General features: G+C 40.2%; 1 protein-coding gene across 3 annotated transcripts in view; it reads left to right on the top strand.

The window, feature by feature from the left end:
* Positions 1–12,735, top strand: part of ABCA12 (ATP binding cassette subfamily A member 12) — a 207,085-nt gene that overhangs the window by 27,575 nt on the left and 166,775 nt on the right. The window lies entirely within an intron of this gene.

The following is a 12,735-nucleotide window of genomic DNA, read 5'->3' as shown; positions in this document are numbered from 1 at the left end:
GACACTCCGTTATTTTCTTTTGGATCCAGAATGAAAAAGTAGAAAGGACTAAGAAAAGTCCTCAGAACTGAGGGGGATGAGGGTTTTAACCCCAGTGGCTTGATGAATGCTGTTTTCATTTTTATTTTTTCCCTGTGAAGCCAGTTTTCTTAAAAGAGGAGGAAAAGTCAAACCAGACACTTCTTGCTTCACAAAGCAGCCATCTCCTAAAAAGCTTCTTGTAAATCAAATTTCTATAAATTAGATTGTATTTCACATAAATTATGGTAATTTGCTATGTAAAAGAAGACAATCCTGAATTATTTTGTAAAGAGAGTAAAAAGCTAGTGACTTTTAAAAATAATTAGTGTTTTTGAATCACCCAGTTCTAAGAAATCAGATGAGAACCATAGCAGAATTTACGTGAATCATGCTCAATAGGCTAATTCAAAAGAAAATGTCAACTCAGTTAGTGGAAAGCATTTAAACTGTTGGTGCTAGAATAAACAATTCCTTACATTTAAATAGTACCTTATTTCTTTTTTGTTTTGTTTTGTCGAGACGTAGTCTCACTCTGTCGCCCAGGCTGGAGTGCAGTGGCGCGATTTCGGCTCACTGCAAGCAAGCTCTGCCTCCTGGGTTCACACCATTCTCCTGCCTTAGCCTCCTGAGTAGGTGGGACTACAGGCGCCCATCACCACGCCTGGCTAATTTTTTTGTATTTTTAGTAGAGACCGGGTTTCACTGTGTTAGCCGGGATGGTCTTGATCTCCTGACCTTGTGATCCACCCACCTCGGCCTCCCAAAGTGCTGGGATTACAGGCGTGAGCCACCGCGCCCAGCCAACAGTGCCTTACTTCTAAAGGATGTTTTCTCAAGTCATTTGAGTTATTGATGAGATTTTATTTGATTGTTCATAAAAACAGCATAATTTTGCTCTCTTCATATTATGTGTATATTAGTTATTTATAACAGATTGACTCCACCGTATACTGTTGGAGTTTATATGTTTGTTCATATCTTAAGTAGCATGGGTCTCAGAAATAATCCATTTATATATTTCTACATATCTTAAGTAGCATGGGCTTCAGGAATACCATATAAGTAGGACAAATACTCTTAAATATTCTGGTTTAATATGCTAACTATCAATTTTCTAACAATAGTGATGGGAGGATTTTAATAGCTCCTTTCAACACCTATTTTCACCAATTTCTTGTTTTTAAGGACTTTTCAGTTACATAAAGTTCCTCTTGTAAAACTTCCAAGAGAGAAATATAAGGTCTTTGAATGAGCAGTCTTAAATTAATTGATATTACCTGATAGCATTAGAGATTCATGGAAAAAACTGTGGAAAGCTCTTATAATTCTACTAAATTAGGAAGAAAAAAAATACTAGAGAAATAATGTGATATGTGCCTCTTAGGCCTAATCTAAAGGGCTCTGAAAAAACATTGTATCAGGGAGGAGATGAATAACTTTTTGCTATGGACCTATTATCATACTCTAATAATAACTAGCCAAGGAAGTGATTATCTTTCTGTTTATCAGTAGGACAGTACAAAATTATAGGATGGTTCAAACACGGAAAGTATGTTTGTTAGTCTCTTAGACCTTATCAGACTCAGTCTAAAAAATAGTTTTTTGGTTTGTTATTACAAGTAGAAGTGACCCTCTCACTTTACAAATGAGAAACCTGCAACACAGGGAGATTACAGTTTGCCAAAATTCAATCATGTGGGATAGGAAAGAAAGGTGGTGAAAACCGCTTCTTTGTCCATGAGATTTACCGCATCTTACCCTTTTATACACAAATTTTTTCTAAGTCTGAAACTCCTATTTGGGTAAATAAGAGCCAAGTAAAAATTATGCCCAAAGTTTCAATACATTCTATAATCAATAGAATATAAAATGTAATTTTGTAATCAGAGGTGCTATAGAGTAATTTGGAGAATGTAAGACTGGTAGAGAAGCAGTTACTTGCCCCCCCGCCTCCTTTTTTTTTTTTGAGACAGTCTTGCTCTGTCGCCCAGGCTAGAGTACAGTGGTGCGATCTCGGCTCGCTGCCACCTCTGCCTCCTGGGTTCAAGCAATTCTCTGCCTCAGCCTCCTGAGTAGCTGGGATTACAGGAGCCCACCACCACACCTGGCTAATTTTTGTATTTTTAGTAGAGACGGGGGTTTCACCATCTTGGCCAGGCTGGTCTGGAACTCCTGACCTCGTGATCCACCGCCTCGGCCTCCCAAAATGCTGGGATTACAGGCATGAGTCACCGCACCTGGCCTTTTCCCCCTCTTTTGTCGTAGAAAGAATAACTTTGAGATGACAGTTTGGATTTAGATGCTTTTATCCTGTTTTTTAAATTGCTCTTGTTTTTCTTTGTTTCTCATGTATGTCTTTTATGCTGAAAGATTAGAATTGGCCAATAATTCATCATAATAAAAATATTTCTTGATCTCATACTGTGTACCAGATATTTAGTAAGGTGGTGACTGTATTATTCATCTCACAGTTGAGAAAACTAATGCACAGAGAACTTAAGTAACTTGACCAAGATGGTACCGTTAATAAGTGGTGGTGTCAGGATTTGAAACCAAGCAGTCTGGCCCCAGAATCTTGTTTTAAGCTCATGAACTCACATTTCTTACATCTAGTAGTCAGTACTAATTTTTCACATTGCATCATTTACATTTTGTAAAAGTGAACTAAAATTAGAAACTAGGATTGGAAGCACCCCTGCTTTGCCTCAATTATGAAATCAAGAAATATGGGGAGTAAGTGCATTCCAATGTATGTATTAGAGTTATCCTAACTATTAGTATTCAGTGCTACCTGTGTCCAACTAATTCTTCATGAAGCATTGTAGCTGAAGTATCATAGAAATTAGGTCCTCTTTAATAGAGTTAAAATCATTTGTGGGCTACAGTGCTAGTTGGGCAATAGAGAAGTGAAGATGAAACTCTAGAATCCACCTCTAAATGAAACTCAGCCATGGTGGGTCCCTCAGTCTTCATCATTAGATCATGGGTGTGCTGGAGAGCAAGGTGCAGTCTGGAATCCTGCACTCATGCCCTTGCCCTCACTTCCTTGAAAACATACCACGGGAAAAGTCAGCAGCAAGAGCAAGGCCAGAACACACCTCACTCCTCTGACTTTCACAACTCTCATCAGTGAGATGCCCCACAGGCTCTTTCAACATTAAGACTGTACAATAGCTCCTCTTAACAATTCGGGCACTGGAGTCATAACAACATGCATGGATCCCACAACAACTTCTGTTCTGTAATACTGTGGGTACATTCTGCTCCCAGAAGAGTCAGGCAGGTCTGTAGGACTTGATAACTCATTTAGAACAAATATAATTAGTGACGTAAAGGATTCCCTTCATAGTCTTTTTGATGGTTGGGCATCTGGAGAAGTCTGCATTTTTGATGAGCGGGAACCAGCTGCAATCCCTGACACCATTGGTGCTGGTCCAGATAACATAGATATTCCTGACATCACCTGACTTCACTCATTCCCTTTTGTGTTGCAACAAATGGCTTAGGTAACTAGCCTCTGCAAAGAATAAATCCCAGGTGAAGAAAACCTTTTGAGCCTGGCAGGCAGGCCCTAATTCTTCTCATTCAAACAGGGAAGAAATGAGCTGAGGTGCCAAGTTTGAAGTAGTTTCAATCTCTTATAATCTCCACATGCAGCAGCTTGTCAAGAGGCAAATGTTAAAGCCAAAAAACACTGCTTAGGATCAAGGGCCAACAAAACAGCACAAATCTCTACAAGACACACTTAGACTAAGCCAAGCTGTAATGTGCGGCAAGCTTATTTTGTCTCCCTTTAATACACACATACCCATGAATGTCCAGGCAAGCAGCCCCTAATTACTGTACAACTATTTTTCAAGTACAGTAAAACCCTGACAGAATGAGATAAGTAGACTCCAAAAAAAGTAGTCATGTCAAATAAGGAGTCACACTTTTGTGAAGTTTATGAAAAACAATGTTTTTCTATTGTTCCCTAAATACCTCTAAAAGTACAATGGAAATCATACTGTGCAAATATGACCATACATTACATTAAGCCCCAACTATCTCAAGGCTGTCACTTTCTAACACTCCTGGGCCCTCTGCGGATAAGAAATTCAGCCCATCTTGCATGTGAAAATCAGGGCTGGTGGAAGGCAGGAGCCAGCCATGAATTGAATTATATCCAAATTTATATTATCACAGAGTTATACTAAATAGCACCCATCCAGATGTTACTCAACAGCTTTGGTAAATGCAAGAACGTCCAACATTTTCAGCCTGACTTTTTTTTTTTTTTTTTGCCTCCAAAGCATACCCTTTATCTTCAGGGATGCATACAAGTAATAACAGGGATGAACATTTATTGAACACTTTGCTATGTGTCAGACACTGTGCTAAGTACTTTGCATGCCTTAGTTAATACTCACATCATTTCTTTGGACCTTGTAATAGAATTGTCCCTATTTTAAAGATGAGAAAATTGAGACACAAATAATGTGTTAAGTAATTTACCAAGGTTCACATGGTTATTATGTGCTGGAGCCTGGATTTTTGGATAAGATACCTGCGGACAGATGGTTTTATCTGGGTCATGGGTGTCACCGATGGCGGTCCTGAGGTCTGGTTCATTACAATAACTCATTTTTCTTCCTCATACCACTTATTAGGACTATCATAGATTGAGCATTGCTGTAAAAATGAACTCAAGTTGTTTTTCTACTTGTTAGTAGCTCTGGGAAAAAAAAAATGTGAGAAGGAGGATTGAAATTGTTGATCAACAAGTGGTTTGTGGGATCCATGCAAGTTGTTATGACTCCAGCGCCCGAATTGTTAAGAAGAGCTATTGTACAGTCTTAATGTTGAAAGAGCCTCTGGGGCATCTCACTGATGAGGGTTGTGAAAGTCAGAGGAGTGAGGTGTGTTCTGGCCTTGCTCTTGCTGCTGACTTTTCCTGTGGTATGTTTTCAGGGAAGTGAGGACAAGGGCATGAGTGCAGGATTCCAGACTGCACCTTGCTCTCCAGCACACCCATGATCTAATGATGAAAACTGAAGGACCCACAGGAAATAATTTCATTTGCTATCTTGATTGGCTAAAAATTTACATAGGTTTTTTTGTTGTTGTTGTTCTGAGGAGCTCAGAATTCATCATCATTTGTCTTTTGCTGTGGATTGCCCAATCCAGTTTCTGCATTCTCATGAGTACCAGCAACACTAGTTAGTCTTTCAGGTTAGAAACATCTGAATCATCCATGACTCCTCCCTTCGTTTACCTCCCATAACCGCTGGCATGCAAGTCAGAATCCATTTGTGAAATGTGTCCCAGAGTTACTGCTGCCCTTCCATCCTTCCTGTCACCCCTTGGTTCAAGATCCCATTGTCTCATGCTTGGATTGCTTCCATAGCTTTGTGACTGTGTGAAAGTGCGTGTGTGTGTGTGTGTGTGTGCGTGTGTGTGTGTGTGTGTGTGTCTTGAAGCCCTAACTCCAACTCTTTCCATGTTTCTTCATCAGATAATCTCCCTAGAATACTATTTGGGCCCATTAGGTTTCACCTTCTCTTTGTCTGACTTTCAAGACCTGCATAATCAGGATTCTTCCAACTTTGTGTTCATTCTGTTCTGCAGTAGAATGCCTGTGCTTAAGGAGGAGGTGTCTGAATGTCCTCCACACGTCTCATTCTCACTCCCACGTTGATGCATGTCCTTTTATCTTCCCTGCATGCCAGTTAAAAGCCAAGCTCACATCCAGGGTACTCCCATTTAGCCTTGTCTGATCACTCAAACCCCAATCAATTTTCCTTTATATCTCTCTTGTTGAAGTATTGGCTTATAATGGTCTTTAAGTGTTTGCTGCTTCAGTCTTGACTCACTTATTGGATAGATAGCACATTAATAGCAGAAATCACATCATACCACTGTACGCACAAGGTATAGCATGGTTCCTAACAGGGAACACAGTCAGAATGCAACAGGTAAAAATCTGATACAGTTTGGAAGATTTATATGGGTGACTGGATTACAAAATTCACTCAATGATAGATAGTAAAAAAAACTCAATGTGAGTCTGAGATGGGTAAGGGACAAGGAGTTAGTTTGTTTTGGTTTGCTATTTATTTTTCAGATCCAGGTAAATCTGATTATGGGATCAAAATAATGTCTATAATGCCCATATGGGGGAAAGAAAATGAATATAAAGCCCCGTCACTCCTTCCCAGCTACATCCACCTGGGAATTTCCATCACAAATACGAAAGAGTTCCAAATATGTAGGAGAGATTTTTTGTGTAGGAGCATTAACAGCCTGCTTCTTGCTTAAGAAGTTTCAGAACATTTTGGAACAGCTTTTGAATTTCACGGCCAAAGACCCATCCTGTACTTCCTCCATCAGCAAATTGTAGTAAGTGACTTTTTGGGAAACATTACTGACCCTTCACATACCAACATGGAGATAAATTCTGTGGAAGCCATAGAAACTGAAATTGGGATTTGATTGGGACCCTGTTTCCTCCAGTGTCCCGTGCAGAGCTGTCTGAAGCACACAGAGGGGTCGAAGATGTGGACACGGCTGCATCACTCACAGGGATGACTACAGCTCCTGCTGGCAGTGGTCCATCTCCCCCAGCTCCTGGCCTGACTCTCATGCAATGTGGATGGGCACACCCTAATGCCAGCTAACACGATGACAAGGTTTCTCAGCTAATGCCCTCTTAGGCTCAGTAAACAGAATTGCACAGAGAATAGGAAATATCTCTGAAGTACAATAAAACTTAATTTTAACAAGTAGAAAAATTAAGAGTAAGGAAGGGTATTTTCTCTCCATCCTGTATCATCCCCACATTGTGTAGTCTACCTTGCAAGCTTCCCAAAGGTGATTGTCTCAGTGAAATCGGCCATGGGAACCAAATGTCTTCTGGTTTTTACTCCTTTTCTCTTTCCTTCATAAGAGCAGAGGGCCTTTTGTCAGACAGGGCCTCCTCTCAGATAGGGAGTGCTAATGTCCAAGTCTATCCGATAAGTAAAGATGAATGGTTGAATATTTATAACATCTTTATAACATTTTTTTTAAATGGAATCTGTCCCTGTTGCCCAGGCTGGAGTGCAGTAGCGCAATCTCGGCTCACAGCAACCTCCACCACCAGGGTTCAAGTGATTCTCCTGCCTCTGCCTCCTGAGTAGCTGGGGTTACAGGCATCCACCAAGATACCTGGCTAATGTCAGATTTACCTGGATCTGAGAAGTAAATAGCAAAAACAAAACAAAACTAAACTAAACAAAAACTTGATATACTTAGATTAGTGCCTGCTATATGGTAAGAGCTATAAAAGTGTTGGACATTATTTTCTATACTGTATTATTTATGATACTATATTTGTATAGAGTATAGCATCTATCCTTGAGTATCATGAAGCTAATCTAGTATCTTGTCATTATTTGTCAGATGAGGAAACTGAGGCTCAGAAATTTTGAGGGATGTTATAGGGCCAGGTGCCATGGCTCATGCCTATAATCCCAGCACTTGTGGGAGGCTGAGTTGGGTGGATCACCTGAGGTCAGGAGTTCGAGACCAGCCTGGCCAACATGGTGAAACCCTGTCTCTACTAAAAATACAAAAAATTAGCTGGGCCTAGGGGTGGTCACCTGTAATCCCAGCTACTTGGTAGGCTGAGGCAGGATAATTGCTTGAACCCAGGAGGCAGACGTTGCAGTGAGCTGAGATCACACCATTGCACTCCAGCTGGGCAACAAGAGTGAAACTCTGTCTCAAAAAAAAAAAAAAAAAAAGAAAGAAATTTTAAGAGACATTGTTAAAGTTTCACATTTATTCTTGCCATCATCACATATTTAAAGGGCGCCTGTTGCATCTATTAAGCACTAATTAAGAAAGCCATGAGCCCTCACAGCAATCAAGCCTATAAGAGAGCAATAAGTATATCAGAAACTATTGCAATGTGAAAAATTCCACAGTGGAGGTAAGTCCAAGACAGAAGCAAGGAAGTTGGAGTCAGCAACTGCCTGGGACCAAGGCAAGTGCAGTACAAAATTAGAGAGTTTGAAAAAACTCAGTGATCAAGATCAATAATTGTTCAAGAGAGAATTTTACAAAATCAAAATTAATACAAAACCTTATGATGAACAAAATATCAATATTCAAAGTAAAAACAGGATCGGGGTTACCAACTTTTCTTTTTCCTTAGCTCCAACGTAGAGTTCAGTGCTAAGACTTAGCATGAGTCTTGAAGAATGAGTAGGAGTTCATCAGTTAGATAACCAGTGTCATTGCATTTCTTACAGAAAGCAACTTACATGAGTGAGGACATAGAATGTGGAAGAGTTAGATGTGCCAGGAATTTGGAATCTCTTTTGCCTGAAAAAGGAAGATGCTTGTTGAGTACTGAAAGATAAGGCTGTTTGGTCCAAACCAAAAGTATTAGAGTTTATTTTTATTTTTTTGAGACAGGGTCTTGCTCTATCGCCCAGACTGGAATGCAGTGGTGCAATCTCAGCTCACCACAACCTCCGCCTCCTGGGTTCAAGCAATTCTCCTGCCTCAGCCTCCCAAACAGCTGGGACTACAGGTGCGCGCCATCATGCCCAGCTAATTTTTGTATTTTTAGTAGAGACAGGGTTTCACCATGTTGGCCAGGCTGGTTTCGAACTCCTGACCTCAAGTGATTCACCCACCTCGGCCTCCCAAAGTGCTGGGATTACAGGCATGCGCCATTGCGTCAGGCCTAGACTTTATCTTAAAGGTGATGAGAAGCCACTGGAATTATTTTTACTAAATTAGTTTTATTTTTAAATGTTTATAGATTTTTCTGACTATAGATATACATGCTCATTATTAAAAATTAAATAATGAGGTACGAGTGTGCATACTGTAAAAAATGGAAGTCATGCATAATCTCAACCTCTAAAGAGAACCATTGTTAACATTTCAGTGTACATTTGCTAGGACTTTTTTCTATGCATGTACCAAATACTCACAAACACACATACATAGGCACACACACACACACACACGTGTACAAACAAATAAAATAGGACCATTGGGACTAGACAATAGTTTAGAAGGTGTTCCTGCAGCTGTGTGGGAGATGGTTTTAAGGAGTAGGAGCTGGTGGCTGGATTGGGAATTCTGGAGTTAAGACTTCCACTTCGGTCTTCTTTTTCATGATCTCTTGATTGCCCAAGAGAAATAGTAACTGAGGCTAAAAGAAATCTGTATACTTCTCTATCAGAGCTAGCTATTTCCTTAGGCTTTTTAAACACCCCCTCCTTCAATCCTCCATTTTCTTTTCAGATTTTTTAAATGCAGATTTCTTTTAAAAATAGAGAATTACTCTTTGTACTATGAAGGTTTTCAGTGCAAGGTTAGCCATAACCCTCTAATTTCATACTGTCCAAAATAAGATTTACACAATTTAGGAGAAATTTGGGAAGTGAAAATGGAGCAAACTAAGGAGCAAATAATACAGAAATCACATGCTATTATCAATATTTTTCTTCTTTGTCTTTTCTCTATTTTGGGGATTTACAAACAGATGTACCCAGCTACTCTACCTCAATCAAAATGATCTAAGTATGTTTGCTGAAATAGACAAATGGCAGAGTATTACCCTAGGCTTTCTGAGTTGGCATCTGGAGGTGGAGGTGGAGTTGGAGGTGGTGGTGAGTGGGATGGTGTTGAGGACCAGAGAGTTTAAATTTTGAAGAACTCGCCAGGTGATTCTTATGCTACTTCAAGTTTGTGAGCTACTTTTTCCTTTCTTTTCAACTTAAAAATAATTTTAGATCAGCTCATCACTGTGAAAACAAACCAGAGAATGGATTTAATTCTTTGAATAATCACGGAGAAGAACTTGCCTTTCACCTGAGTTAGCTTGCAGGCTTTCAGTGGCTGCCAGCACCCTATTCTTCTTTTCAGCACTCAGTCTTTCACTGTAATCCCCAGGATATCAGAAGTCTCACACCATTCTTCATGTCTTATATTGAAGACACGTTTTTAGGACAGGTGCGAAGAGGAGCAAACCTCCTCTCAGAGAGTACTGTTGGAGCAGTGTCTAAAGAAGGACGTGTTCACAATTTCCTGAACTGGTGCTTTTCCAAGATGATTTCATTGATAAGTTACATGCCCAGGGAACCCAGGTCCATGCAAACAAGCACTTCCCACTCTAGCTTTATAACACTGCATTTATGGCTTCATAAATATCAGAAGAATGAGAAATGTTAAAATCTTTTCATTATTTTGAAATTGCTGCCCTATGTGGAGATGGTTAAAAAAAGATGCTTCTGGAGATTTATATTCTACAAGGATGTGCCTAGGGCTGTAAAGAGCAGGACTGCGTTCTGACCTCAAGTTGCTTACGATGGAATTGTAAAGTGAAGAAACACACAAGATAGATTATGGGCCATAATATATTTTTAAAAACAAAAAATTAAATATAATTAAAGTAAAAGTGTTAAATATAGATCTTGGCCAGTACTTTGCACATAATGGGAACTCAAATATTCATTGATTAATAGTGACATGTAACAATTGTGCAAATAGGAAAATAAATATTAAATAGGCAGCATTGGCAATGAAAACTACTGGATGTTTAAAAAGGAAAAGATGGCTGCGAATTAGGGTAATTGAGAATTACTTCAGGATTAAATTAAGCTTGGAAGAAAAAAAAGTGAATATGCAACAAGAGGAAGTGGCTTTCAAGAGGCAGAAGGGGCATGATCGAGATCTTGGAGGCAGAACTTCTCAGGCTTAACTGGCTAAAGATAGGTAGACTAGTCTAGCCAAAGTAGAGTGTTTTGCTTGAGAGTAGACTGGGAAACAGAGGGAGACACAATCTCTACAAAAAAATAAAAATAAAAAATTAGTCACATGTGGTGGTATGTGCCTGTGGTGCCAGCTACTTGGGAGGCTGAGGTGGGAAGATCACTTGAGCCTGGGAGGTCGAGGCTGCAGTGAGCCATGATTGTGCCACTGTACTCCAGGCCTGGGAAAGAGAGTAAGACCCTGTTTCTTAAAAAAAAAAAAAGAGAGAGAGAGAGAGAGATCAATTTCATCATGTAGGGTTTTGAATACTAGACTAGGAGTCTAGATTTTATCCTGTAGTAATGGAAACATTGGAAGTCTGTGAAGAGTTATTTAATTTTGTGTTTTACAGCATGGGAGGTAAACTAAAGGAAGTTTGTTAAGTTTTCCACCCTAATTGTTTATATCCATCCAGATGTTTATATCACAGGCTGTATTAGTTATCTGTTGCTCTATAACAAATTGCCCCTCAAAACTTAGTGGCAACAACAATAAACATTTATCATCCTCCATTTTCCAGGGGTCAGAATTTTTTTTTTTTTTTTTTTGAGATGAAGTCTCGCTCTGTCACCAAGCTGGAGTGCAGTGGCGTGATGTGGGCTCACTACAACCTCCACCTCCTGTGTTCAAGTGATCCTACTGCCTCAGCCTCCCGAGTAGCTGGGATTACAGGCATACGCCACCGTGCCCAGCTAATTTTTGTATTTTTAGTAGAGACGGGGTTTCACCATGTTGGCCTGGATGGTCTCGATCTCTTGACCTTGTGATCTGCCCGCCTTGGCTTCCTAAAATGCTGGGATTACAGGCGTGAGCCACCGCGCCCAGCTGGGGTCGGAAATTAAAGAGTGACTTAGCCACATGGCTTTGCCTTGGTGTGTCTCATGAGTTTGCAGTCAGGATTTGGGCTAGGACGTCAGTCATCCAACAACTCGAGTAGGGCTGGAAGATCTGTTTCCAAGGTGGATAGCTCACATGGCTGGTGCGTTGGCACTGACAGTTGGTGGGAGGCCTCAGCTTCTCCCCAGCTGGGCCTTGAAGCTACTTGAGTGTCCTCAAGACAGAGTGGCTGGCTTTCCCCAGAGAAAGCAATCCAAGATAGGCAGAAACTATCCTTTTTCTGTCCTGCCCTTAAATGCCTTAGAGCATCACACTGCCACATTCTATTCATGAGAACAAGTGCTTCAGCCTGACTCATATTTAAGGGAATTAGGCTCCACCTTTTGAAAAAAAGTGCCGAAGATTCTGTGGATACATTTTAAAACCACCACACAGCCTAACAAGATTCAATGGTGCAATAACAAAGGGCATAAACGTGCTTACGATATTCAGCCCCATCATCGCGGTGTCCTTATCTGCTTTGGGCCACACTGAATTCCTAGTACCTAGCAGGGCCTGCACGTTGAGGCACTCATTAAATGTTTTTGAGCTATTACTGTTTTACAGATGGAGACATTTACTTTCAAAGATTTTAGTGACAGTCCTTACTAAGTGTTGAAGCAAGATTTAATTTGTTCTTACTTCCCATATCCTCTTTCTACTCTCTATGCTATCTGTCAAACAGAGTCACTCATGTCTGTAGAGATGCTCACCTTGCTGTTGGCACAGCTAACAGAATTACTCTCTGGAATATTGCTTGGCACTTAGTCACCCAACAAATATTTGTTGAACAAATGAGTGAATTTGGTGCAACAATAATTGAAGGCTGGAAGTTTAAAGAAGTCTGTTCAAATTTACTTACAAGTCAGTGGAAAATGGGAATACAATCTGGAGTGGTTGCCTTTTGTGCAGGTTATTATTCTGTCATATTTGCTGAAAGGGCACCATGTTCAAAGGGCAGAAGTTAGATATTCTGGATATAGAAGAGATGGAACTCCTGGAGTTTGAGAAGCTCTGTGATAACCACCCAGAAGGATTCTATGGCAA

This window comes from Homo sapiens, chromosome 2 (assembly GCF_000001405.40).
Source record: "Homo sapiens chromosome 2, GRCh38.p14 Primary Assembly".
In the NCBI taxonomy this organism is placed as follows: Eukaryota; Metazoa; Chordata; class Mammalia; order Primates; family Hominidae; genus Homo; species Homo sapiens.
The sequence above is the reverse complement of the archived record's forward strand: the minus strand, read 5'-3'. Positions and strand labels throughout refer to the sequence as shown.